Source organism: Homo sapiens, chromosome X (genome assembly GCF_000001405.40).
Source record: "Homo sapiens chromosome X, GRCh38.p14 Primary Assembly".
Classification (NCBI taxonomy): Eukaryota; Metazoa; Chordata; class Mammalia; order Primates; family Hominidae; genus Homo; species Homo sapiens.
Window position 1 is genome coordinate 136,853,320 of NC_000023.11, and position 27,702 is coordinate 136,881,021.

The 27,702-nt window shown below is 43.0% G+C and overlaps 1 protein-coding gene and 1 non-coding gene across 5 annotated transcripts, besides 7 other annotated features; both read right to left on the minus strand.

Annotated features, from left to right (window-relative positions):
• Positions 3,473 to 3,552: an enhancer, noted in NCBI's record as "active region_29997". NCBI's record gives its function as "activates an Ori minimal core promoter by ATAC-STARR-seq in GM12878 lymphoblastoid cells {active_cell/tissue: GM12878}" and the evidence as "EXISTENCE:reporter gene assay evidence [ECO:0000049][PMID:35858748]".
• On the minus strand, positions 15,873 to 27,406 carry RBMX (RNA binding motif protein X-linked). Of its 4 annotated transcripts, none has more exons than NR_028477.2 (9): positions 27,278 to 27,406; positions 26,000 to 26,134; positions 25,698 to 25,839; positions 24,596 to 24,767; positions 23,184 to 23,336; positions 22,152 to 22,266; positions 21,939 to 22,064; positions 21,767 to 21,849; positions 20,142 to 21,133 (listed from the first exon to the last, which is right to left on the minus strand). NR_028477.2 is itself a non-coding variant. In NM_002139.4 (9 exons), the coding sequence occupies exons 2-9, from the start codon at positions 26,106 to 26,108 to the stop codon at positions 20,823 to 20,825; spliced, it is 1,176 nt and encodes a 391-aa protein (NP_002130.2). In that variant the 5' UTR covers positions 26,109 to 26,134; positions 27,278 to 27,406; the 3' UTR covers positions 20,142 to 20,822. The 4 variants fall into 4 exon arrangements, 2 of the variants coding, with proteins under 2 accessions (NP_001158275.1, NP_002130.2); NM_002139.4 differs by having other exon boundaries at positions 25,698 to 25,804; NM_001164803.2 differs by lacking the exons at positions 20,142 to 21,133; positions 23,184 to 23,336; positions 24,596 to 24,767 and adding exons at positions 15,873 to 17,098; positions 18,949 to 19,026 and having other exon boundaries at positions 25,698 to 25,804.
• Positions 20,689 to 21,888: an enhancer, noted in NCBI's record as "MED14-independent group 3 enhancer chrX:135956167-135957366 (GRCh37/hg19 assembly coordinates)". NCBI's record gives its function as "activates an origin of replication core promoter dependent on BRD2, BRD4, P300/CBP and CDK7 cofactors, and independent of MED14, by STARR-seq in HCT116 cells {active_cell/tissue: HCT116}" and the evidence as "EXISTENCE:reporter gene assay evidence [ECO:0000049][PMID:35650434]".
• On the minus strand, positions 25,880 to 25,952 carry SNORD61 (small nucleolar RNA, C/D box 61). Its single transcript, NR_002735.1, has one exon. It is a non-coding gene; the product is annotated as a small nucleolar RNA, C/D box 61 (small nucleolar RNA).
• Positions 26,331 to 26,930: an enhancer, noted in NCBI's record as "H3K27ac hESC enhancer chrX:135961809-135962408 (GRCh37/hg19 assembly coordinates)". NCBI's record gives its function as "activates a minimal SCP1, AML or CMV promoter by ChIP-STARR-seq in primed H9 embryonic stem cells {active_cell/tissue: H9 hESC(primed)}" and the evidence as "EXISTENCE:reporter gene assay evidence [ECO:0000049][PMID:30033119]".
• Positions 26,331 to 27,529: a biological region, named in NCBI's record as "H3K27ac hESC enhancers GRCh37_chrX:135961809-135962408 and GRCh37_chrX:135962409-135963007".
• Positions 26,732 to 26,791: an enhancer, noted in NCBI's record as "active region_29998". NCBI's record gives its function as "activates an Ori minimal core promoter by ATAC-STARR-seq in GM12878 lymphoblastoid cells {active_cell/tissue: GM12878}" and the evidence as "EXISTENCE:reporter gene assay evidence [ECO:0000049][PMID:35858748]".
• Positions 26,802 to 27,261: an enhancer, noted in NCBI's record as "active region_29999". NCBI's record gives its function as "activates an Ori minimal core promoter by ATAC-STARR-seq in GM12878 lymphoblastoid cells {active_cell/tissue: GM12878}" and the evidence as "EXISTENCE:reporter gene assay evidence [ECO:0000049][PMID:35858748]".
• Positions 26,931 to 27,529: an enhancer, noted in NCBI's record as "H3K27ac hESC enhancer chrX:135962409-135963007 (GRCh37/hg19 assembly coordinates)". NCBI's record gives its function as "activates a minimal SCP1, AML or CMV promoter by ChIP-STARR-seq in primed H9 embryonic stem cells {active_cell/tissue: H9 hESC(primed)}" and the evidence as "EXISTENCE:reporter gene assay evidence [ECO:0000049][PMID:30033119]".

Below are 27,702 nucleotides of genomic sequence, written 5' to 3' on the forward strand. Positions count from 1 at the left end.
GTGGTGGCAGGCGCCTGTAATCCCATCCACTCGGGAGGCTGAGGCAGGAGAATCCCTTGAACCCGAGAGACAGACATTGCAGTGAGCCGAGATCGCACACTGCACTCCAGCCTGGGGAACAGAAGGTGATCCATCTCATTAATAAATAAATACATAAATAAGTAAGTAAATTTCCTTATTTTCCCATAACCTAATCTACTAATCTCCTGCTTGTCCACCCTCATTCTTTGCCTTCCTTCCCTTATAGTGTGGTGGATGAAATACTTCTGCTCTTAACGTCGCCCTGTGACTTTTTTGGCTTCCATCTTCCCTTATCCAAAGACTTCATTAATACTGTCATCCCCTCATTCTCATGTGTCAATTTCTCCCCCTTTACTGGAACAGTCCCACAAACCTATATTCTAGTGCCGGGCGCGGTGGCTCATGCCTGTAATCCCTGCACTTTGGGAGGCCGAGGTGGGCAGATCACATGAGGTCACGAGTTCGAGACCAGCCTGATCAACACGGAGAAACACTGGCTATACTAAAAATACAAAATTAGCTGGGCGTGGTGGCGTGCACCTGTAATCCCAGCTACGGGAGGCTGAGGTAGGAGAATCACTTGAACCCGGGAGGCAGAGATTGCAGTGAGCCGAGATCACGCCATTGCACTCCAGCCTGGGCAACAAGAGCGAAACTCCATCTCAAAATAAATAAATAAATAAGACATTCTAGTATCTCCCATTTTAAAAAAATACCTCCCTTGACCCCACATCCTCCTACTCTTCTGTCCTTCACCACAGCAACATTTCTCGAAATAGCTCACTCTAGTTCTTGTCTTTCCTTCTGTGCCATTCTCTCCTCAACCCACTTCAAATAGGGTTGTGCGCCTTCCATCCCCCTGAAATGGCTTTTGTTAACTGTGTGTTAGTATGCCCAACGCATGTAGCATGTTGTGTCGAATGCTCACTCCTTTTTCTTCACCTCTGAGCAGCATTCAACAGTCATTCTTGCAACTTTCTCTTGGCTTCCTAGAAACCACACTATCCTGATTTTCCTCCTACCTCTGAGCCCATTCCTTTTTAGATTTCATGCTACATTCTCACCTCGTGGGCCTCTAAAACGTTAGAGCATGCCAGCATTCAGTCCTTGGACTTCTCTAGTTACACTCTTCCTGAGTGATCTCATCCACTTCGATATTCATACCTTATAGTGCCATCCACATGCTTATGACTCCCAAATTTACCTCCAACCCATACAACTCCAGCAACCTCATTACTTACACCTAATTCTACATGTGACATTTCTGTGTGGATGACTAAAAGTCACCTTAAATGATTCATAAAGTATTACATGTATTAACATACATGACAGGCAGTGTAGCATACTAGTTAGAAACATGATTTCTGGAACAACACGACTTGAAATCTAAGTCTATCAGTATATAGGTATGTGACCTTGCATTATTTATCTATGTAACAATTTCCTCACGCATTCAATGAGGAAAATAATAGTATTTACCTGATGAGTTCCTGTGAGGAGCAAATATGTTAATGAAAAGTACTTAGAACAGAGTCTGGGCCTGACGCTGCAGCTCACGCCTGCAATCCCAGCACTTTGAGAGGCAGAGATGGGTAGATCACCTGAGGTCAGGAGTTCAAGACCAGCCTGGCCAACATGGTGAAACCCCGTCTCTACTAAAAATACAAAAAATTTGCTGGGCATGGTGGCGGGCACCTGAAATCCCAGATCTTCGGGAGGCTGAGGCAGGAGAATCACTTGAACCCAGTAGGCGGAAATTGCAGTGAGCCAAGATCGCACCACTGCACTCCAGCCTGGGCGACAGAGTAAGATGCTGTCTCAAAAAACAATAAAAGCTAAAGGAAGATTATTACAACATCATACAGGCTTAGACCCCTCAGAATTGAAGGTTAAGTAAACCAAGTAAAATGCCACCATTGACTGAGGTAGAAAAAAAATAACAAAATGGATATTTTAGGAAGAATATTATAATTACCAATTATTGCTTGTGACCAGTTACCTAAACAAGAGTTATAGTCTCTACCTGAATTTCTCCTTTTACTGTATCATACTCTTGTTTTCTCTTCTCCCAATATTTTATATAGAATGTTTACGGATACATTTTAACATTTTCAGTTTATGTATTAGAAAATTTGGAGATTAGATTCCAGACATTCTGTACTTAAGAGTTGAATGCAACTATTCACAAAACTTTTTTGGTTGTCTTTCTTTGGGGTAGCCATAAAGCAGCACACTTGAAGATGTATGCAAAATAGTTAGTGTTAGGCAGAGATATTTTTGGAAGAACAACTATGAGAAGTGAAGCATATTCATTCATTTAACACATATTTGTTGAACTCCTACTATGTTCTAGACATCATCTCAGGCTTTGGGGATGCAGGAATAAACAAAACAGGCAAAGACCCCTCGTCTTAGGAAGATTATATTCTATCAAGGGAAGACAAAAAGAAACAATGGGTTTTTTAAAATTGGTACATTAGGCCGGGCACAGTGACTCATGCCTGTAATCCCAGCACTTTGGGAGGCCGAGGCAGGCGGATCACGAGGTCAGGAGATCGAGACCATCCTGGCTAACACAGTGAAACCCCGCCTTTACTAGAAATACAAAAAATTAGCTAGGCGTGGTGGCAGGCACCTGTAGTCCCAGCTACTCAGGAGGCTGAGGCAGAATGGCGTGAACCCGGGAGGCGGAGCTTGCAGTGAGCTGAGATCGTGCCACTGGGCAACAGAGCGAGACTCCATCTCCAAAAAAAAAAAAAAAAAAAAAAAATTGGTACGTTGACCAGGTGTGGTGGCTCACGCCTGTAACCCCAGCACATTGGGAGGCCCAGATGAGCACATCATTTGAGATCAGGAATTCAAAACCAGCCTGGCCAACATGGTGAAACTGCATCTGTACTAAAAATACAAAAATTAGTCGGCCGTGGTGGCACACACCTATAATCCCAGCCACTCAGGGGGCTGAGTCATGAGAATCACTTGAGCCCAGGAGGCGGAGGTTGCAATGAGCAGAGATCACACCACTGCACTCCTGCCAGGGTGACAGTGAGACCCCCTTCTCAAAAAGAAGAAAAAGAAAAAAAAAAAGGCACGGAAGAAGATCAGCAAGAGAATGGAGGTAGTGATCAGTGGGGTAAAACAAAAAGGAAGTGTAGTATCCTAAAATTAACATAAAGAAATTATTATCAGGGAAGGAGTAATCAATGGAGTCAAATATGGAGGTAAGAGGAAAACCTGGAGTGAATCTAACAATGTGCAGGTCACTGGTGACCTTGACAAGAGCAGTTTCAGTAAAATACTGAGAGTGAAACCTTGACTGAAATGAATTAAACAGAATGTGGGAAGAGGAACTGCAGACAGCAGGCATAAATAACTCTTTCAAGACATTTTGCAGCAAAGGAGAATAAGGAACTGGGATAGTAAGTGGACTGCGTAGTGTAGAGCATAGTTACTATTTTTTTTTTTTCGAGACAGAGTCTGGCTCTGTCGCCCAAGCCGGAGTACAAGGGTGCAATCTTGGTTCACTGCAACATCCGCCTCCCGGGCTGAAGCAATTCTCCTGCCTCAGCCTCCTGAGTAGCTGGGATTACAGGCACCCACCACCATGCCTGGCTAATTTTTGTATTTTTGATAGAGACAGGGTTTCACCACGTTGGCCAGGCTGGTCTCAAACTCCTGATCTCAGGTGATCCACCTGACTTGGCCTCCCAAAGTGCTGGGATTACAGGCATGAGCCACTGGGCATGGCCATTACTGTTGATTTTACTGTCCCATATCCATTCTACCTTCTCATGGTACATCAATTTACCTTCGAGCATTTACTTCTCTCTCATTGTATATTTGCTTTGTGGGACCAACACCTGCACTCAAACTGTAAGTGTTGCTAGAGAAAAATATATAAGCATGCTTGACAGGTTTCTCTATAAATTCATGATACGAATGTGAAATGGGACTCAAAACTATCAAATATTTCTCTAGTTTGCTTGCTTTCCAACTTTTCAAATGACTGTCTCATTTATTATCTCTCCTCAAACCTCCATTTCTCACTCCTCCTCACTTTCAGCTGATAACTTTGCCTCTAAACTAGAAAAAAGAAACAATATTAAAAGTTTCCTGGCAGGGTGCAGTGGTTCACGCCTGTAATCTCAGCACTTTGGGAGGCCGAGGGGGGTGGATCACTTGAGGTCAGGAGTTTAAGACCAGCCTGGCCAACATGGTGAAACCAAGACTCTACGAAAAATACAAAAATTAGCCGGGCGTGGTAGCAGGCGCCTGTAATCCCAGCTACTCAGGAGACTGAGGCAGGAAAATCACTTGAACCTGGGAGAAAGAGGATGCAGTGAGCTGAGACCACGCCACTCCACTCCAGCCTAGGCAACAGAGGGAGATCCATCTCATAAATAAGTGTCCTTATTGTCCCACAACCTAATCTACTAATCTCTGCTTGTCCACCTTCATTCTTTGCCTGCCTTCCCTCATAGTGTGGTGGATGAAATACTTCTGCTCTTAACGTCCCGTGACTTTTTGGATTCCATTCTCCCTCATCCTAAGACTTCAGTAATCCAGTCATCCCCTCATTCTCGTGTCAATTTCTGCCCCTTTACTGGAACAGTCCCAAAAACCTATATTCTAGTATCTCCCATTTATTAAAAATACCTCCCTTAACCCCACATCCTCCTGCTTTTCTCTGTCCTTCACCACAGCAACATTTCTCGAAATAGCTCACTCTAGTTCTTGTCTTTCCTTGTTTCTGTGCCATTCTCTCCTCAACCCACTTCAAATAAGGTTGTGCGCCCTCCATCCCCCTGAAATGGCTTAACTGCATGTTAGTATGCCCAACGCATGTAGCATGTTGTGTCGAATGCTCACTCCTTTTCCTTCATCTCTGAGCAGCATTCAACACAGTCATTCTTGCAACTTTCTCTTGGCTTCCTAGAAACCACACTATCCTGATTTTCCTCCTACCTCTGAGCCCACTCCTTTTCAGATTTCTTGCTACATTCTCACCTCCTTGGCCTCTAAAATGTTGGAGCATGCCAGGATTCAGTCCTTGGACTTCTCTAGTTACACTCTTCCTGAATGATCTCATCCACTTCAATATTGATACCTTATAGTGCCATCTACATGCTCATGACTCCCAAATTTACCTCCAACCCATACAACTCCAGCAACCTCATTACTAACACCTAGTTCTACATGTGACATTTGTTTGGATGACAAGTAGTCATCTCAAATTTAATGATTCATAAAGTATTACATGGATTAATATACATGACAGGCAGTGTAGCATACTAGTTAGAAACATGATTTCTGGAACATGACTTGAAATCTATCAGTATATAGGTATGTAACTTGGGTAATTTATTTATGTAACTGAATTTCCTTATAACTTCAATGAGAAAAATAATAGTATTTACCTTAAAGGTTCTTGTGAGGAGCAAACTTTTTTTTTTTTTTTTTTTTTTTTTTTTTTTTTATTTGAGACAGAGGCTTGCTCTTGTCGCCCAGGCTGCAGTGCAATGGCGCGATCTCAGCACACTGCAACCTCCACCTCCGGGGTTCAAGCGATTCTTGTGCCTCAGCCTCCTTGAGTAGCTGGGATGAGAGGCGCCCGCCACCACGCCCGGCTAATTTTTATACTTTTATTTTAGTAGAGACAGGGTCTGGCCATGTTGGCCAGGCTGGTCTTGAACACCTGACCTCCAGTGATCCGTCAGCCTTGGCCTCCCAAAGTGGTGGGATCACAGGTGTGAGCCACCGCGCCCAGCAATGAGGAACAAATATGTTAATGAAAAGTACACAGAACAAAATCTGGGCCTGGCACATGGATCATGCCTGTAATCACAACACTTTGGGAGGCCAAGGCAGCTGGATCACCTGAGGTCAGGAGTTAGAGACCAGCCTGGCCAATATGGTGAAACCCTGTCTGTACTAAAAATACAAAAATTAGCCGGGCATGGTGGTGGATGCCTGTAATCCCATCTATTCAGGAGGCTAAGGGAGGAGAATCACTTGACCCTTGGAGGCGGAGGTTGCAGTGAGCCGAGATCGCACCACTGCACTCTGCCCTGAGGGACAGAGGGAGACTCCGTCTCAAAAAGAAAAAAAAAAAACATAAAAGCTAAAGAAAGAGTATCACACAGGCTTAGAACCCTCAGGATTGAAGGTTTAGTAAACCAAGTAAAATGTCACCATTAACTAAGGTAAAAAAAAAAAAATACAAATGGATATTTTAGGAAGAATATTTTAATTACCAGTTATTGCCTTGTGACCAGTTACCTAAGCAAGTGTTATAGTCTCTACCTGAATTTCTCCTTTTACTATATCATACTCTTGTTTTCTCTTCTCCCAATATTTTATATAGAATGTTTAGGGATACATTTTAACATTTTCAGTTTATGTATTAGAAAACTTAGAGATAAGACTGCAGACATTCTGCACTTGGAGTTGAATGCAACTATTCATAAAACTTTAGGTTGCCTTTCTTTGGGGTGGCCATAAAGCAGTACACTTGTAGATGTATGCAAAACAGTTCAAGTGTGTTAGAGATATTTTTGGAAAAACAACTATGAAAAGTGAAGCATATTCATTTAACACATACTTGTTGAACTTCAGGCTTTGGGGAGACAGGAATAAACAAAACAGGCAAAGATCCCTCATCTTATGGAGATTATATTCTATCAAGAGAAGACAAAAAGAAACAATGGGTATTTAAAAATAAGTACCCCGGCAGGTCGCGGCGGCTCACGCCTATAATCCCAGCTCTTTGGGAGGCTGAGACAGGCAGATCATTTGAAGTCAGGAAATCAAAACCAGCCTGGCCAACATGGTGAAACCCTGTCTCTACTAAAACTAGAAAAATTAGCCAAGTGTGGTGGTGAGCGCCTGTAATACCAGCTACTCAGGAGGCTGAGGCAGGAGAATCACTTGAGCCCGGGAGGCAAAGGTTGCTGTGAGCAGAGATCACACCACTGCACTCCTGCCTGGGTGACAGAGTGAGACTCTGTCTCAAAGAAAAAAAAAAAAATGGAGGTTAGGCAAGAGGATCAGTAAGAGACTAGGAGTGATCAGTGGGGTAAAGGAAAAAGAAAGTGGGCTGGGCACGGTGTCTCTCGCCTATAATCCCAGCACGCTGGGAGGCCGAGGTTACTGGATCACCTGAGGTTGGGAGGTCGAGACCAGCCTGGCCAACGTGACAAAACCGCTTCTCTACCAAAATTACAAAACATTAGCTAGGGGTAGTGGCGGGCGCCTGTAGTCCCAGCTACTTGGGAGGCTCAGGCAGGAGAATCACTTGAACCCGGTAGGCGGAGGTTGCAGTGAGCCGAGATCATGCCACTGCACTCCAGCCTGGGAAATAGTTAAGACTCCATCTCAAAAGAAAAGAAAAGAAAGTGTAGTATCATAAAATTCAAATAAAGATATTCTATCAGGGAAAAAGTGACTAATGGAATCGAATATGGAAGAGGAAAATTTGGATTGAATCTAACAATGTGCAGGTCACCGGTGACCTTGACAAGAGCAGTTTCAGTGGAATGATGAGAGTGAAAACTTAACTGAAATGAATTAAACAGAATGTGGGAAGAGGAATTACAGATAGCAGGCATAAGTGACTCTTTTAAGACATTTGGCCACAAAGGAGAATAAGGAACTGGGGTAGTATGTGGACAGCATAGTGTAGTGCATAGTTATTGTTGATTTTACTGTCCCATATCCATTCTACCTTCTCATGGTACATCAATTTACCTTCGAGCATTTACTTCTCCCTTATTGTATACTTGCTTTGTGGGATCAACACCTGCATTCAAGCTGTAAGTACTGCTAGAGAAAAATACATAAGCATGCTTAACTGGTTTCTCTATAAATTTATGATACAAATCTCAAATGGGACTCAAAAATACCAAATACTTCTCCAGTTTGTTCACTTTCCAACTTTTCAAATGACTCTCATTTATTATCTCTCCTCAAACCTCTACTTTTCACTCCTCCTCACTTTCAGCTGGTAACTTTGCCTCTAAATGGGAAAAAGAAACAGTATTAAAAGTTTCCTGGCAGGGTGCAGTGGTTCACACCTGTAATCTCAGCACTTTGGGAGGCTGAGGCGGGCGGATCGCTTGTGGTAAGGAGTTCAAGACCAGCCTGGCCAACATGGTGAAACCCCGTCTGTGCTAAAAATACAAAAATTAGCCGGGCATGGTGGCGGGCGCCTGTAATCCTATCTACTTGCGAGGCTGAGGCAGGAGAATTGCTTGAACCTTGGAGACGGAGGTTGTAGTGAACCAGATCGTGCCACTGCACTACAGCCTGGGCAACAAGAGCAAGACTTAGTCTCAAAAAAAAAAGGACATACATTAAATGCATTAACGTGATTGCCAGTGGTAGGTGAATGAATGTATGGGAGTGGGAATGGGGAAGTAAAGTAAAAACAAAATGAGGAGGGCTCTGTGTGTACTAATCAGAATACACCAAAATACTTGAGGAGTATGACGAGCTCAGGAGACGAAGAAACTCAGCTTATCTTGTCCTTGACAAAATGCTGATCTAACAAAGTGCTGGTTCCTTCCCCTCATTCCACCCCTAAAGATGACACACAAGAAGAAAATTGATGAAAATAATAAAATCTAACACTTATGCAGCATTTACCATATGCCAGGAACTATTAACTCATTTATCTTAGCAGCCAATGCTATGAGATAATTATTATTCCCATTTTATAGATGAGAAAACTAGTGAGGTTAAGCAACTTGCCCAAGGTCACACACCTGGTAATGCTGAAACTGGGATTTGAACTCAGTCTAGATAGAACAGAGAAACACCTAGAGGAGGGAGAGGGTGAGTTTGGGGTAGGAATGGAAGTCAGGGAAGGGTAGCCTAAAACGGAGGAAGAGGGGGCTCCATGGACAGAGGAGAAGCTAGGGGTGAAATGTGTCATTGTGCCCTTTCTCCTCCAACATTGCACCAGAAAGATCATCTCCCACCTCATCACCACAGCAAGACAAAGAACATCTGCGCCAAGCCAGCTGGAGGTGGGTTCCATTTAGGCAGCACTGGAGCCCAGTTGGATGGGGGGGCATATTACATGTGCAGGCACACAGGCCACCCTGAAAACTACACCTTCAGCTAGTCAATACAACTTATACTTTCAAGGCAAGGATTTGGCCATATGTTCCTTGAGGAATTCTTTCCAAAAAAAAAAAAACCCCTGAAGAAATTGACATCAGGGTATCTTATTCTGTTTTCTGTTGTTATAACTAAGTACCTGTGACTGGGTAATTTATAAAGAATTGATTTCTTTCAGTTCTGCTTGCTGAGAAGTCCAAGGTCAAGAGGCCACATCTGGTGAGAGCCTCCTTGCTGGTGGGGACGCTGCAGAGTCCCAAAGCAGTGCAGGGTATCACATGGTGAAGAAGCTGAGCGTGCTAGCTCTGGTCTCTTCCTCTTCTCATGAAGCCACCAGTCCCAGTCCCATGATAATCCATTAACCCATTAATCCACGAATCACTGAGAATTGAGTTTCAACATGGGAGGGGCACAGTGGCTCATGCCTATAATCCCAGCACTTTGGGTGGCCGAGGCAGGCAGATAACTTGAGGTCAGGAGTTCGAGATCAGCCTGGCCAACATGGTGAAACCCCGTCTCTACTAAAAATATAAAAATTAGCTGGGCGTGGTGGCACCCATCTATAATCCCAGCTACTTGGGAGGCTGCAGCAGGAGAATTGCTTGAAGCTGGGAGGCGGAGGTTGCAGTGAGCCAAGATAGCGCCATTGCACTCCAGCCTGGGCCACAAGAGTGAAACTCCATCTCAAAAAAAAAAGTTTCAACATGGGTTTCGGAGGGAACATTCAAACCATAGCACAGGGGTTCACCAACAAACAGCACCCACAGTGAAGCACAGTAAAAAAGCCCTCAGAGATTACAAACATGTTAATCCCCTCTCTTCTTATAATCATGAACACAGAGCCAAAACTTTCCAATTATTTGAGGAAAGCCCCTAGTAAGAAGTTTGAAGTAGAAAAAAACAGCAATAGTAACTTCAAAGGAAAAAAATCCACTCTGCAGGAAGAAAACTTTAGGACTTTAAAAAATTAGTATCCTTAGAGAGCTTACTATAAAACTACAGTAATCAGGCCAGGCACAGTGGCTCACGCCTGTAATCCCAGTACTTTAGGAAGCCAAGGCTGGTGGATCACCTGAGGTCAGGAGTTTGAGACCAGCCTGGCCAACATGATGAAACTCCATCTCTACTAAAAATACAAAAAGTAGCCAGGCGTGGTGGTGGGTGCCTGTAATCCCAGCTACTCGGGAGGCTGAGGCAGGAGAATCACTTGAATCAGGGAGATGGAGGTTGCAGTGAGCCGAGATCATGCCATTGCACTCCAGCCTGGGGTGACAAGAGCAAAACTGTGTCTAAAAAAAAAAAACACCCTACAGTAATCAAGGTAAGGATAGACATAGACATTACCGATCAATTTTTTTAAGTACAGTAACGGACCCAGGTATGTATGTTTCCTATTAAGATACTGAAGTACTGGAGGCTAGTCTTTTCAAAAAAAGATGCTCAAAGGCCTATCTGTATTTGAAAAAATCAATTTCAACACCTACCTCATACCCAAAAAAATTCAAAATGGATTACAGACATAATATAAAAGTTAAAACCACAAAACTTGTCCAGGCATGGTGTCTCATGTATGTAATCTTAGCACTTTGGGAGGCCTAGGCACGTGGATCCCTTGAGCTCAGGAGTTGAAGGCCAGCCTGAGCAACATGGTGAAACCTTGTCATGAGGTTTTGAGACCCAGTCACAAAAAAACTTACAAAACTTCTAGAAGACAGGAAAAAATATTTATGACCAGGCAGTAGGCAATTTTGTTAGGTCACAGAAACCAAGAACCATTTTTGTTAAATTAGATTTCATTTGCTCATTGAAAAAAATAAAAAATAGGCAAGGCAGACTGGGAGAAGATATTCGTAACATATCTGACAATTTGTATCCAGAACAAATAAATAAATTCTGTAACATTTAAAAAGCAGGCAACCCAATTTTTAAGACAGACAAAAGTCTTAGACACTTTGTGAAAGTAGTTATACACACGGCTAATTAAGCACGTGAGAAACTGCCCATCAGCCTGGCCAACATGGCGAAATCCCATCTCTACTAAAAATACAAAAATTGCCGGGCGAGGTGGCTCACGCCTGTAATCCCAGCACTTTGGGAGGCCGAGGTGGGTGGATCACAAGGTCAGGAGTTCAAGGCCATGCTGACCAACATGGTGAAACCCCATCTCTACTAAAAATACAAAAATTAGCTGAGCGTGGTGGCGCATACCTGTAATCCCAGCTACTCAGTAGGCTGAGACAGGAGAATCCCTTGAACCCAGGAGGCAGAGGTTGCAGTGAGCTGACAGCATGCCACTGCACTCCAGCCTGGACGACAGAACAAGACTCCATCTCAAAAAAAAAAAAAAAAAAAAAAAAAGCAAAAATACAAAAATTAGCCCGGCATATGGACTGGGCACGGGGGCTCACGCCTATAATCCCAGCACTTTGGGAGGCCAAGGTGGGTGGATCACAAGGTCAGGAGATCAAGACCATCCTGGCTAACATGGTGAAACCCCATCTCTACTAAAAATACAAAAAATTAGCCGAGCGTTGTGGCGGGCGCCTGTAGTCCCAGCTACTCAGGAGGCTGAGGCAGGAGAACGGCGTGAACCCAGGAGGCGGAGCTTGCAGTGAGCGGAGATCGTGCCACTGCACTCCAGCCTAGGCGACAGAGCGAGACTCAGTCTCTAAATAAATAAAGTAATTAAATTAAATTAGTCCAGCATAGTGGTGGACGCCTGTAATCCCAGCTACTCGGGAGGCTGCAGCAGAACTGCTTGAACCCAGGAGGTGAAGTTTGCAGTGAGCCGAGATTGCGCCACTGCACTCCAGCCTGGGTGACAGAGCGAGACCCCGTTTCAGAAAAAAAAAACACAAAACTCCCAGTATGAAGTGCAATGTGAGATACTGGAGTAGATCCTGCAATGGAGAGAAGACAGTAGAAAATATGTGAAATCTAAAGTCTTTTTTGAGACATGGTCTCACTGTCACCCAAGCTGGAGTGCAGTGGTGCCATCACGGCTCACTGCAGCCTCAACTTCCTATGCTCAGGCCATCCTCCCATCTCAGCCTCCTGACACCACACCCAGCTAATTTTTGTATTCTTTTGTAGAGGTGGGTCTTGCTATGTTCTCCAGGCTGGTCACCTGGGCTCAAGTGGTCTACCTTGGCGTCCCAAAATGCTGGGATGACAAACATGAGACATCACACCCAACCTAGTCTGGAGTTTAGTTAATGGTAATATACCAATGTTAATCTCTTAGTTGACAAATACCATAATAATGTAAGATATTAAAATTAGGGGAAATTGGGTAATGCGTATGAGAACTCTCTACTTTGCAACTTCTGAGAATTTAAAATTATCCCCAAATAAAGCCTTTTTAAAAAAGTGCTCAGCATCATTAGTCATCAGGGAAATGTGAATTAAAATCAATACTACCCCACCCACCAGAATGGTTAAAATGAAACTGATCAATAGCAGCACATGTTGTTAAGGATGTTGTGGAGGAACCAGAATTCTCATAAATTGCTAATGAGGCCGGGCACGGTGGCTCATGCCTGTAATCCTAGCACTTGGGAGGCCAAGGAGGGTGTATCACCTGTCAGTTTGAGACCAACCTGGCCAACATGGCGAAACCTCGTCTCTACTAAAAATACAAAAATTAGCTGGGTGTGGTGGTGGGTGCCTGTAATCCCAGCTACTTGGGAGACTGAGGCAGGAGAATCGTTTGAACCCAGGAGGCAGAGGTTGCAGTGAGCCAAGATCATGCCACTGCACTCCAGCCTAGGCGACAGAGAGGCCGTCTCAAAAAAAAAAAAAAAAAAAATTGCTACTGAGGGCATAAAATGGTACAACCACTCTGGGAAAACTCTGGTAGTTTCTTAAAAATTAAACATACAGCAGATCTTTTAAAAACGTCATTTTAGTGAACATCATTTTGTTGAGGAAAAAAAAAAAATCAACTCCTGGCTGGGACCACTGTGCGGAGTTAACACATCCTTCCCGTGTCTGCATTGGCTTTCTCTCTGGGTACTCCTGTTTCCTCCCATATCCCAAAGGTAAACTTGCAAGTCTGAATGGTTCCGATCTGAGTGAATGTGGGTGTGAGCATGTCCTGCAATGGGATGGTCTCCTGGCCAAGATCGGTTCCCACCTTGGCCTTGAGCTGGCTAGACAGGTTCTAGTTTCCTGAGACTCTGAACTGAAATAACTGGGTAAATAACTAGATAGCTTTTCAACTCTTCTTAAGTAACTGGGTAAAGAACTATATAGCTTTTCAACTTTTCTTAAACGTATGCACAGCTCACGTTTATTTCAATGTTTAGTATTAGATGTGTTTTGGCTTTTATTTGGCACCAGGCGCAGTGGCTCACACCTGTAATCTCAGAACTTTGGGAGGCGGAGGAAGGATTGCGAAATTCAAGCCCAGCCTGGGCAACAAAGGGAGACCCCCGCCGTCTCTTTAAAAAAAAAAAAAAAAAAAAAACGCCAGGCATGCTAGCACACGCCTGTAGTCCCAGCTACTTGGGAGGCTGAGGTGGGAGGATTGCTTGAGTCCAGGAGGTCAAGGCTGCAGTGAGTCATAATAGCACTACACTCCAGCCTGGGCAACAGAGTACAATGTCTCAAAAAAAGTTTGACACTTTTAACTACAAATATGTTGCAGGAACTTAAATTTTTTGTCAATTAGCCTACGGTAAAGCTGGTTTCATTATAAAAGTTTCCAAGAACCCTTCAAGAAATCTTCAACAATGTTAAGATTTACTGTATTATCTACCCTGTCACTTCATGAATTCCACTCGACATTTACCAAAAATAAACTGTTACGTCCAAGACTCGTACAAGAATACTCATAGCAGTATTTGTAATAGCCAAAAATTGGAACTAGCCCAGATGTCCATCAATAGTTACTTCATGCACTGCAACTCTACTCTGCAATAAAAGGAATATACATGCAACTATGTGGATGAATCTGAAAACATTCTGTAAGCAGCTAGACATAAACTACATCAACAGAATTTACATAATCAAAATTTGCAAAAAATATCTTATGATGGAAATCAGGTCAGTGTTTGTTGCTGGTGTTGGGAGGTGGTCTATTGACTGAGAAGGGGCACACACAACTTTCCGGAGCTAAGTTCTGTGTCTTGATGTGCTAAGCGTTTCTCAAGACTGATCAAACTGTACATGAGATCAGTGCATTTCACCATACTTTTTTTCAAGTACTACTCATTGCTGAGAGGATAAGCCACAAATTCACCATAAGGGCTAAACTGTTAACACCAGATACTGACAAGGCATGGAATAACTCACACATCATTGGCTAAGTGTTTCCACAGTATTACTTTGGAAAAAATGCCTAGCCATCTCTCAAAAAATGTACATCTATCCTGATTCAGCAATTCCACACCCGTTTTCATCTCAGTAATTACAAAAACAAAAGCTACTGTGAGAACATTTATAGCAACTTTATGCATGAAAGCCAAAAACCAGAAAAGGCCCAGGTTTCCATGAATGGGAAAGCATACCATACTCGGCAACATGGAACTACTGATGTATACACGGCTAAAACTCAAGTACTTTGAGATGATGGTAATTATCCATCATTGATAGAGTATACATTTCTCAGTTCATAAAACAGTACCCTTAATACTTGAGTATTTCAGATTTAAATGTTATCTTAAAAATTGATTAAAGTTGAACTAATTGATACAAAAGTTCAAGTTACTTTTCAGGAAGTATACTGACATGTGCAACATAAAGTATTGACGGGATGAGTAGAGAGATGTTTTCCTGGAACAATAGGTATAGAACTGGCTGCGCGTTGTAGCTCACACCTGTAATCCCAGCACTTTGGGAGGCCAAGGTGGGCAGATCACTTGAGTTCAGGAGGTTCAAGACCAGGCTGGCCAACATGATGACAACCCCATCTCTACTAAAACACAAAAATTAGCTGGGTGTGGTGGCGCACGCCCGTAATCCCAGCTACTTGGGAGGCTGAGGTAGGACAATCGTTTGAACCCGGGAGGCGGAGGTTGCAGCGATCCGAGATGGTGCCACTGCACTCCAGCCTGGGGGACATGGTGAGACTCCATCTCATTAATAAACCCCCCCAAAAAAACAGGTGTAGAGCTGAGATTATTTACAGAATGACAATACTTAGGGCTTTCTCTGCCATCTTAATGCTTAGCTGCATTCTTTCTCCATGTGCTGAGTTCTGTTCAACTGACTACATAACCCAAATGCAATGCCCAGTTTTAGACACAAACGAACATCAACTAGTCAGATATATACAGGACACTAGGTAAAGCAGAGAAACTGAAAACTGCAAATTCAGAAGCATATTATCACATGCATTGCTTGACCCAAAGTATTTGGAATCCACAGCCACAACTGAGTTGTTGCTGACCTGTTTTTCCCCAAGAGGTAAGCAGGAATTACATAAAAGCACTACAGTTGACTCCTGGTTTATTTAGCCTCTGCTTCTTAGGTGTGTGATTGTGCTTCCATTTAACTTTTAGGGTGAGGACTGAATGAAGTCATCTACATTCCCCCTGAAGCTCACTCTCAATAAAGGAGGCCTAGTCACAAAAACAGCCTCAATGACTCTGGACATTCCCATGCAAAACTGATTAAGTGCCATCAATGCAACAGAGGTAGTGTTTGGGGGAGGGGGACATGGGAAAAACATTTAAAAACATAAACCCCTAATTTCTAAGTAAAGAAGAGCCCCTTGCCACAAAAAAAGATGCCATGTTAAAGTTTTATTAAGTTTCAATACAAAACATTCCAAAAAGTGAAAAGTGATCTATAATACCCAAGTTCTATGTTCAACTACCAGTTAAACAAGGAAAACATTTTCTGTATCATTCTGTTTTACAACCAGTATAAACCCAGAAGAATCAAGATCTGATTCCTTTTCCACACATCTGCTAGGTCAGTAAACTATCAAACAGGTATCTGGTCATTTTAACATACTCCTTATATTCCTATTTGGTACAATCTCTATATCCTATACTATCTTCAAGATATCTAAATATCTTAAATATTTAGGGTATCTCAAGAGCCAGAAGGTCCTCACAGAAGCGTTAACCCAAGTAATCGTAAGAGTATAGAAAGATTGGGCTAAGACAACTATGGAGTGCAAAAACCACATAAATTTGGTCATTACCCTTGTGGTCTGTGATTAGTAGTAGGTTGTCAAATGAGAGTTAAAAATGTTGTATTATCCCTAGTTGCAAATGTTCCAAATAAGACAGTGCCATAACTACACGACAAAAACAAAAAAAAAATCATATAAGTTGGGTTAGTTCCTCTAATCCAACAACTCAAGTCTGTTTCCTTTGAGAACATTATACTATTGGCTCTAGTCTCCAAACCAATAAAAAACTAAAACTTGTTTCCAAGACTGGGAGGTAAAGTAGGCTTATAAAACAATACAGCAAAAGAAAGCCAAGTGGCCTAATTGTTTCCAGTGTGCTTGCCATCTTAGCATGGTTACTTTCCAGATGTCACTCATAAGTTTTATTCTACAACTAAACTGTTTGTGGATAAGCCACCACCAAAAAATGTTTCACTTACTGACAGACACTTCACTAGATACAGCTACCACTTATATCCATCATTTTTATAATTCAACTTAAGTTCTAAATTGAAGAGTTGTCCCCATGACTTTAGCTAAACAAAATGAAAGCCAAAGCTGTAAAATCTATGTGAAGAACCACAAGAACTTCCTGACTACCTCCACTTACCAATTTCCTTAATTACTTCCCCTTTTCCATTTGGTCAATTACTTGCTTTAAGTAACTACCAGTCACTCCCTAGTTATGAGTGTTAATCAACACTGATGCCTTCCTCAGATCCACAGGAACCCCTGAAGGCAAAATCTATTGCCTGCACCAAACCAATTCTGACAGCACTGCTTATGCAACTGTAGTGACTTATTGACAATCAGCCGCCTTCTGCTTCAACAACTCTGTAAAATGAAAAACATGGGATCCTGTTACATAGTATTTGTTTTACTGTAAAGTACTTCCCCCCAAACTATCATTTAAATATATACTTTTTTGTTGCTTTAGCTGAAAATAAAAGTAACTGCTTTAAAAAGCAAGCAGGCGCAGTGGCTCACGCTTGTAATCCCAACACTGGGAGGCCGAGACAGGCAGATCACTCAAGGTCAGGAGTTTGAGACCAGCCTGGCCAACACAGTGAAACCCTGTCTCTACAAAAAGTACAAAGATTAGCCGGGCACGGTGGTGCACACCCGTAGTCCCAGCTACTTGGGGAGTCTGAGGCAGGAGAATCGCTTGAACCTGAGAGGCAGTGAGTTGAGAAGCCATCTCAAAAAAAAAAAAAGAAAAAGAAAAAAAGAAAAAAAAAGAAAGCCGCATGCAGTGGCTCACGTCTATAATCTCAGCACATTGGGAGGTCGAGGCGGGCGGATCACCTGAGGTTAGGGGTTCAAGACCAGCCTGGCCAACAGTGAAACCCTGTCTACTAAAAATACAAATAATAATAATAATAATAACCGACATAGTGGCAGGCACCTGTAATCCCAGCTACTTGGAAAGCTGAGGCAGGAAAATCACTTGAACCTGGGAAGCAGAGGTTGCAGTGAGCTGAGATCACACCATTGCACTCTAGCCTGGGCAACAAGTGCAAAACTGTCTCAGAAGAGAAGAAAAAAAAAAAACCACGCAAGCTTAAAAAATCAACCATAGGCGGCCAGGTGCGGTGGCTCATGCCTATAATCCCAGCACTTTGGGAGGCGAGGCAGGCAGATCACAAGGTCAGGAGATCGAGACCATCCTAACACAGTAAAACCCCATCTCTACTAAAAATACAAAAAATCAGCCGGGCGTGGCAGTGTGCACCTGTAGTCCCAGCTACTGGGGGAGGCTGAGGCACAGGAGAATGGCGTGAACCCGGGAGGCAGAGCTTGCAGTGAGCCGAGATCGCGCCACTGCACTCCAGCCTGGGCAACAGAGCAAGACTCCGTCTCAAAAAAAAAAAAAAAAAGGTAATATTGAAATTACATACTATGTCGTCATTATGTCAATGTCAATAAAATTATGTTAAACAGGGAGCTTGCAGCCACAGTTGCATCATTAACTCCACATTTAGTCAATTTGTATTGTAGCTATGCAAATGAGCAAGCACTAACTAGTAACAACGAAAGTATATCCTTTTACAAAATGCACTGAGCAAATTTTTTTTTTCCTCTTCTTGAGACAGGGTCTTGCTGTTGCCCAGGCTGGAGTGCAATGGCGTGATCTCGGCTCACTGCAACCTCTGCCTCCTGGGTTCAAGCAATTCTGCCTCAGCCTCCCCAGTAGCTGGGATTACAGGCGCACACCACCACGCCCGGTGTTTTTTTTTTTTTTTTTTTTTCTAGTACAGATGAGGTTTCACCATGTTTGCCAGACTGGTCTCGAACTCCTGACCTCATGGTCTGCCCGCCTTGGCCTCCCAAAGTCCTGGGATTAAAGGCACGAGCCATGGTGCCCAGCTGAGCAAACTTCTTACGTGTGTACTTCCTTGTTGAGAATGCTTGCATATGAAGAGCTATAAGCAAGCTTTATGGGTTCAAAAATAGCTAAGAATAATCTCATGAATGAGCCAGACTCACGGAAATGTAACCTCACTCTAAATTCACAATGAATGTGTCAGGCACTACACATTAAAGCACTTAACTTCATCAATTCCAAGCAGCGTTTTCTTTTACAGATGAAGTGAGGACCACAATAACTTGCCAATGTCACAGCTAAACTAAATGGTAGTTACACAACATTTAAACCTTCAAAGGCCATTGCTTTCAACACTTACCTTAGCATTTCTTACTGCCAGCTTTATCTACTGTGAATCAATCAGCACTCCACGACCATAATGAGCAAAATCACCAACCTGCAAAAGTTAAATAAATGAAAACTAGTTATCTCTCTTAAGGAAATTCTTTTAAAACTTGCCTATTACTGCCCTCTTTTCCAGAAAGAAAAGGCAAGTTCAGACTTGCAGCTTAATATATTTCATGTTCTACTATTTGTCTTAAGTGGTGGAAGATTCACTGGCTCGGGATGGACTGGAATGGCTTAAATTGTTAAGTTGCATGGCTTATGGATTGTCATTCTGTTCCAATGGTGCACTGCCACGTTAAATCCATAAGTTGAACGAACAAAACTTATTTGAAGGAATAAGTGCAGTATAAGGATTTTTAGTTGGAGGTCTTCAAGTTTACTATATTCAAGAGCATCTTTTTCAACTTCATGGCTGGACCTGGGTCATGCTGCCTCAGGTTTTGCTTTTTAAAGACCACTTGCAATAGATTTTCTCCATACAGTGTAGTTTCATAGAACTAAAAACAAGTCAGGCATCCAACTAAATGTCAAGTTTGCAATGGCTTACAGGGGTAAAAAGGGGGACCCCAAACTTAAGCCATTTCCTATATTGACTAAAAGACTAATTTGAAAAAAATGTTAAAAACATACGAAGCATGTTTAAAGGTCTTCATCAAAAATGGACTTTGAAAAAAATACCCCCTCCCAAGCCCCAGATCGCCATTGGTAAACAACAGCTCTATTAATAAAGCCTTTAAGTGTCACACATGCTTTAAAAAAAAAAAAAAAAAATCCAAGTGTTGAATTTGGAGGACTTCTAATACGCTATTGAATATTTCTTTTTTCCAAAAGTTTTTTTTAATCTAGAAGGCATTTCCATTGCCTTGAGGTACAGTATGTTTCACTGTACTATGAGGAAGGTAAGTGTTCAATTTCGACTTAGACGGAAAAACTAGTTTGCTTTGCTTACCATCTTTGCTGTTTCACAGGCATTTGATGCTTTAAATCTGATGTGGAATGCTGATAGATTCACTTTTTAGAAGTCATAAGCCTTTAGGAAGTTGGAGATAACTTCATTGCTTATCTATTTTCTCCTTTGCAATCAAGCTGTTCCTTTAAAAGTGAGACACTACAGAGTTGCAAAAATTTGAAACAGTAAGAGCAAGCACCTTTGCAGCTTCATGGTTGGTTTTGGCCAAACTTTTTATTTAGTATTCTGTAGTTGTTTAACACACACTTAAATGGTCTTATTGGGGGAAGGGAAAGGGGAGGTTCTTGCAGATTCCCAAGGAAATGTCAGAAAGGCAAAATGGCCAGCATTATCCATTTGCTTTTTTGGGTTTACTGGGTGAATAGCACTTTCCTTACATAGGCATGTGATTTCAGGTTTTTCGTACTGAGAACATTGAGATTTCAGTTGGAAGACACCCTGAAATCTTATGAGTAGCATACCCCAACCACCCTCTAATAGCTAGCTTGTTTGTATAGGTAGAATGATTCATCTCTCCATTTTAGATGGCTAGATGTTTTGTGGAAGATCTTAGAATTGCCTGCCTCATTTGCTGGGAAAAATCAGATAGGAAGTGGCCTTTAGGGGATACTTTTACTTGGAAAGTTACAACACTAGTACAAGTCTTAACACATTTAACATTTGCTTGTTGAAAAGCAATGCGAAAGTCAAATAAAATTAAACATGTTTTACTTTTTTCCTCACAAGAACATAAAAATTATGGAGGGGAACTTAACAGGGAATTTAAAAAAAGTAACACAATTTTTCCTTTTAGTAGTCCTTGGGTAGTTATGATAGAATAGTTTCCACTTTTTGTTTCTTTGAACTGGGATTTTGGTCCAAAGTTTTGTTTGTTTCTAGTATCTGCTTCTGCCTCCCCCTCTATCAGATCGGCTTCCTCCACGGCCACCACCTCTTGGTGCTCCGCGGCTTGAACTGCTGTAGGAATCACGTGGAGGAGGGTACCCCCTTTCCATAGAAGGGGGAAGCCCTCTTTCTTGTCTGCCAACCCGATCACGACCACTTGAGTAGAGATCACTTCGGCTGCTTGAGTAACTGTCTCGACTTCCACCATATCCGTCACGTGAGCTGCTGTAATCATCATAGCGACTGCTTCCACCATAAGATGGCGGGGGCCCTCGTGTAGGTGGAGCACTACGTGAGTTACCTGCAGGGTCAATGGTCAGGTAATATGGCAACACTATAAATTGTATATATACAACATTTTAAATCTGAATTTACAGAATTCTTGTATTAAAAGTTTACTTTCTCAACTGGGTGGGAGGTTTTAAACTCTGCCATTGCTGGCCATAACAGGGATTTGCTCATCTGCTGAGATATGGAATTGGATTCATTTTAATGTTTGTTTGAAAAGACTGAAGACGGTGTGTATTTCAAGAGGATATTCCAGAGAGCTTGTTATTTTATAGTAGACACTCAGCCACTTTCCAGTGATAAGTTGCAATTTTGAACTGTAGAACTTGCCTTCATATTGCAATGGTAAATATTTGATCTTGTTAATAAAATTTTTAAATTGTATTTTCACTGTTGGGGGAAAACACATAAGGCTGCCAATTTAAGCAAGCAAAATCCCCTCCAAAGCAAGCAAACAGCCTCAAAAGAAACTTAGAAAAACAAAAAAAGCCCCTCACAAAACTAGGAAAAGCCCAGCTGATAAAGTTACCCCTTTAAAAGCAAGCAAACATCCCTTTAAAAGCAAGCACCACACAGCCTAATAAACTGGCTCACGAACCTAAAAACTCAAGCTGGTGATACTAAAGACCCTTAACCAGTATCTTACCATAACTCTCATATGAATCTCTGTAGGAACCTCCACTTGGATGATCTGAATAGTCACGATCACGACCATATCCATCTCTATCGCTAAATTAAAGAGAAACCTTTAAGTCCCAGAGAATCAACTTTCATTGCAACTTTTCTTACATGTAAGCCACAGAAGCAAAGTCACTTACCTATATCCTCTTGATGGATAGTCATCACGTGAACTGGAATGACCATAATCACGGTAAGTATAATCTCGTGGTGGTGGTGCATAATCTCTAGTATCACGAGAACTTGGGTAATCTCTGCTTGAATAGCTACAAAGCAAAAGTTTTGGTTTATGCTTTTGATAAGCTTTCCTTCAACCTTAATTATTAATTTAAAAAGCTGCACTTTTCTATTACCTGTCTTTAGTAGAATACCCATCATCTCTTGGGGACAAATAAACATCTCTACGAGAGGGCAGCGGTTCCCTTCGAGGTGGACCTCCATAACTATCTCTTCCACGTGATACAGGAGCTTAAGGAAAAATATCATTTTTTTAAACATAGCCAGAGAAAAAAGTTAAAACGTGAACTTACATTCAGGCTATGAAAAATAATGAGACTGACTTCAAAGATGACATTACGGAGGCTAGATCACCTAATTTTATTTTCTACAATTTCCCATTCATATTTTAAATTTTTTTCAGTGCTAATTCCATTTATCTAATCACCTAGAACACATGACTAAAAGTTTTGTTTTTTTTTTTTGAGATGGGAGTCTCGCTCTGTCACCCAGGCTGGAGTGCAGTCGCGCAATCTTGGCTCACTGCAACCTCTGCCTTCTGGGTTCAAGTGATTCTCCTGCCTCAGCCTCCCGAGTAGCTGGGATTACAGGTGCCCACCACCACGCCCAGCTAACTTTTGTATCTTTAGTAGAGACAGGGTTTCACCACGTTGGCCAGACTGGCCTCGAACTCCGGGCCTCATGATCTGCCCACCTCAGCCTCCCAAAGTGTCAAGATTACAGGCGTGAGCCACCGCACCCAGACTCCATGAATAAAGTTTTTTTTTTTTGTTTTTTTTTTTTTTTTGGAGACAGAATCTCACTCTGTTGCCACGCTGGAGGACAGTGGCATGATCTCGGTTCCCTGCAACCTCTGCCTCCCAGGTTCAAACAATTCTCCTGCCTCGGCCTCCCAAGTAGCGGGGATTACAGGAACCCGCCCTACACTCAGCTAATTTTTGTATTTTTTAGTAGAGACGGGGTTTCACCACATTGGCCAGGATGGTCTTGATCTCTTGACACCGTGATCCGTCTGCCGCGGCCTCCCAAAGTGCTAGGATTACGGGCGTGAGCCACCACGCCTGGCCAATTAAAATTTTAAGCATCATTCACCTCTCAATTCTTTGTGTTACGGTAGTAGCATAAATCATCATACATGGAACATTTACCTCTTCCTCCCATTCCACTGCTACTGCGAACTGGTCCTGAAGGTGCAGATCTCTTAGGAGGAGGACCCCCACTTCTTGGTGGTGGTCCTCTTTTTACTGGGAGTGGTCCCCTGGAAGAACTCATGTTAAAATTCATGGAATATCCACCGTCATCTGCATCAAAAATAGAAAAGAAAAATATTACTACTCACAAGAATCAAGAAAGATATAAAAGTTTTTTTTTTTTTTTGAGAGTCTCACTGTCGCCCAGGCTGGAGTGCAGTGGCTTCATCTCGGCTCACTGCAACCTCTGCCTCCTGGGTTCAAGCAATTCTCCTGCCTCAGCCTCCCGAGTAGCTGGGATTACAGGTGTGCGCCACCACACCCAGCTAATTTTTGGTGGTTTTTTTTAAGTAGAGACAGGATTTCACCATGCTGGCCAGGCTGGTCTCGAACTCCTGACCTTGTGATCCGCCTGCCTCAGCCTCCCAAAGTGCTGGGATTGCAGGTGTGAGCCACCAGGCTCGGCCACTATAAAAGTTTTCTTTGCTTCATCAAGAATATGACCATTATTGGGCCGGGCACAATGGCTCACGCCTGTAATCCCAGCACTTTGGGAGGCCAAGGCGGGCGGATCACCTGAGGTCAGGAGTTCAAGACCAGTCTAACACGGTAAAATCCTGTCTCTACTAAAAATACAAAAATCCAGGTGTGGTGGTGCATGCCCGTAATCCCAGCTACTTGGGAGGCTGAGGCAGGACAATCGCCTGAACCTGGAAGGCAGAGGTTGTGGTGAGCCAAGATCGTGCCACTGCACTTCAGCCTGGGCAACAAGTGCTAAACTCTACCCCCCCCCCCCCAAAAAAAAACCATTATTGATTTGGGTAGTCTAGTTTCACTTGTACTTGATGGAGCATGCACTGCAGTCATAGAAACTGGGGAAATAAGAACTGAAGGTAGTCTTAAAAAACTTTTTTTTTTTTTTTTTGAGAGGGAGTCTCGCTGTTCCCCCAGGCTGGAGTACAGTGGCACGATCTCAACTCACTGCAACCTCTGCCTCCCAAGTTCAAGTGATTCTTCTGCCTCAGCCTCCGTAGTAGCTGGGATTACAGGCACCTGCCACCACGCCCAGCTAACTTTAAAAAATAAAAATGATTTCATTTTCATGTCCAACACCCTGGCCTATCAATTTTTAAATGCCTTTCCTACAGAGTGAACTACTTGGACAAGAAGTAACACTGTCCACGGTTTAACACCATAATCTAAAACATGCTTCCCATGCTTTCAATTGGCAATCACTTTGGTAGATGAACAAGTGTTGTCAATTTCAAAAGTTGGCACCTTTCCTCAAGGACTTAACCAAAGCATCCACTTGGTGTGAGCTTGCAGTCCCTAACTTATACACCAAACCCGAGGTCCACGCAAGTTATTACCCATGTGTCCTCCCCGTGAGGGAGGTCCCCTGGTTCCTCCACTTCCTCCTCTTCCACCTCTAAGACCTCTTGGAGGGCCTCTACTTCTTGGAGGTGGAGGCGGTCCACGTCTACCACTTTCAAATGATGGTTTGGTGGCTTGTTCCACCTTGATGGCTTTTCCATCTAATGACTAAAAAAAAAGATACGATTAAATTAAATCAAGATTTAAAAATAATTTGCACATCTACTATGCACTAAGACACTAACTGGTCCTTCAAAATGCAGTTATGGGTAAGTGTTGCTCATTAGTCTAAGAAAAAACACTGCAAATATAGTCAGTTTACATAAATGGGGCTTTTCCGCTTAAAATTCTTAATACTTAAAACCGATACTGATGATCTGGATTGAAACATAAGGTGAACCCACTGCATTATTGTATGGTAAAATTTAAAACAAGGCCAAGTAGGTATCAGCTTGTTATCAAAACTAGTAGCCAAAACCAAAAGCCAAGTTATCAAAATATGGCTTATGGATCTCAAGATAAAATGTATCATGTTGGCTGGGCGCAGTGGCTCGCAGTGTCTCACACCTGTAATCCCAGTACTTTGGGAGGCGGAGGCAGCTGGATCACCTGAAGTCAGGAGTTTGAGACCAGCCTGGCCAACATGGTGAAACCCTGTCTCTACTAAAAATACAAAGTTAGCCGGGCGTGGTCGCGCATGCCTGTAATCCCAGCTACTGGGGGGGGGGGGGGGGGCTGAGGCAGAAAAATCGCTTAGAACTCGGGAGACAGGCTGCAGTGGGCACTGCACCATTGCACTCCAGGCTAGGCAACGGAGGGAGACTATCAAAAAAAAAAAAAAAAAAGTACCATGTAATGCCATAATTATTCTGAACTGAGAGAATGTTACGAGCATAAGATATAACTCACTACTAGATTTGGTTCTGCAATTACAGAATACTCTTTGGAACAGGATCACAAACAGGATGAGTGGATCCCAGACAGGTATATACTGAAAAACAACGAAAACTCAAAAGCTGTCCTAGACCAGACTTGGACAACTACATGTTATTTTATGCACTAGTAACAGGTTATCATCCATCGTGTAGACAATCTCACCTTTCCATTCATGTCTCTGGCTGCATCCTTAGCGTCTGCTGGGCTTTCAAAGGTGACAAAAGCAAATCCTCTTGATTTGTTGGTTTCACGGTCTTTCATCAAGAGTACTAAAAAGTAGTTTTCAGAAAAATAAAGTGTTACCCTAGGTCAAATGAAATAACCAAAGTAAATGTGTAAACAGAAAGCTCAGAACTTCTTAGAGGACAAAAATACATTATCATGTCAGACGATCAATGCAATCAAATTCATCATAGCTTATATTTTAATTATAATAGCCCAGCCTGTACTGCCAGACAACTCACCTTCCACTATTCGTCCATATTTGCCAAATACTGCTTCAAGAGCTTTCTCATTTGTTTCCGTATTAAGCCCACCAATGAAGAGCTTTCCTGGGCGATCTGCTTCAACCATGTTTTTTTTTTTTTGGGCCGGTGAGTCTGTTGAAAAGGAATAGTATTACCTCACTGCAAAAAGTTCCTCAAGTTTATTGGACACTTTTACTTTCGCACATTTCTCATATTTTCCACTAAAACCATTGTTCCTTAATAACTAAAGAAAACGATAACGAGCTAAGCCTCAGCCACAGTAGGAAGCAATTTGAACTAAGTAGTTTAGTAACACTGCAATTTACATAAAACTGGTTAAAAGGGCCAACTTAACTTTTACCACTACCCTTGATCACCCTTAGCTGTTCTTAAGCAACAGCTGCTTAACATTTGAAAAAGCAACTTTTAGTTCCAGTCCTCTTGCCTTTGAAAGATTCAATTACTCATCACACCCTTCCTAACGATGGTTTTAAAAGACTCCCAAGGTCACAGGCTAGACACAGGACCTTAACACCAAGCCCTCTTCCAACGACTCCTCTTTTCCTCATTAGGATTCCCTACTAAATCCAAGGAGAAATGTGAAGTTTAAGCCAAGTTATGCCGCCCCTCTTCTTCACCGGCCCCCGCCCTACCGAAAATTCTACTATCCGGCCAAAAAGATAAAAACAAATCGTCAACATCGTTTGCTATTAAGTAACGGAACGCGGACGCACACACTAACACTCGACACTCCGTGACTGCAGCGGAACCTAATTAAAACTCGTCATTAAAAACCGCGTGTAAAAGACAAAATGGCGACACTTGGATTCAACCCAGAACCACCGACACTGGTCAGGGGACTAACTTTTACCACCAACATTGGCTGGGAACATTCAGAGGGCTTCTTCTCCGGGGCCGCCAATGAATACGAAGCCCGCAGCCCGCATGGAAGTCCACATGCCCATCATTAGCGCCAGCGCCATACCAATGCAGGTATCGCCGTGGTGCGGTCGCTCCTCGCCCCGCTCCAGCCTACAAAGCCCCGACCTCCGCTACCAACTCCCGCAGATGGCAGCCAAACTTTCTCGAGAAGCATACAACCAAACGGGCCCCCTCATTTGTTTTCCCTCGACCCCCTCAGCTTTATTTAAATAGGTCGGAACCTTTGGGTTCTTAAAATGGCGCCCGCCACCCCCATCTCCAGGGAGATATAATCCCCAGTCCTAACACGGGGAGAGTGTCACGAAAAACGGACTGAGGAAAGGAGACACGTACCGGAGGGGTGACAATGGGTTCAAGCTCCAACGAGCTCGGCGATAGGGGCTTCCTAGCAGCTCAGCACCAGTGGCGGCTGCCGGGTGCGAGGACCGAACCGCGAAGCCGCTAGCACTACTGCGCAACGAGGGCGAACAAAGGAGACAGCAAACTTTATACTGCCCGGGAACGAGGCTGAAGGACCCGGATGGAAACGGAGCTTAGAATTTGAAACGCAAAGGGAGGGGGGAAGTAGTTCCCAGTCTCCCCATTGGCTGGCTCCTCTGTCATTCACCCTTCTCTCCTCCCTTTTTCCCGGGCCCTCGGTGTTGGGTCGACAGACCTTTCTAACCGTTTTCTCTACCCCCACCCGTTCTTTACAAACGCGCTTTTTTTGCTTTACGCTAAAATGGTGCACAGGCTTCCTTTAATAAAGAACTGAAGTT

Coding starts and splice junctions, on each gene's coding strand:
- RBMX (NM_002139.4), bottom strand. CDS start 26,108: ATGGTTGAAGCAGATCGCCCAGGAAAGCTCTTCATTGGTGGGCTTAAT. Junction 25,805..25,999: donor ATATGGACGAATAGTGGAAG/GTGAGTTGTCTG, acceptor ACTACTTTTTAG/TACTCTTGATGAAAGACCGT. Junction 22,267..23,183: donor CAGTGGAATGGGAGGAAGAG/GTAAATGTTCCA, acceptor TTTTTCCTTAAG/CTCCTGTATCACGTGGAAGA.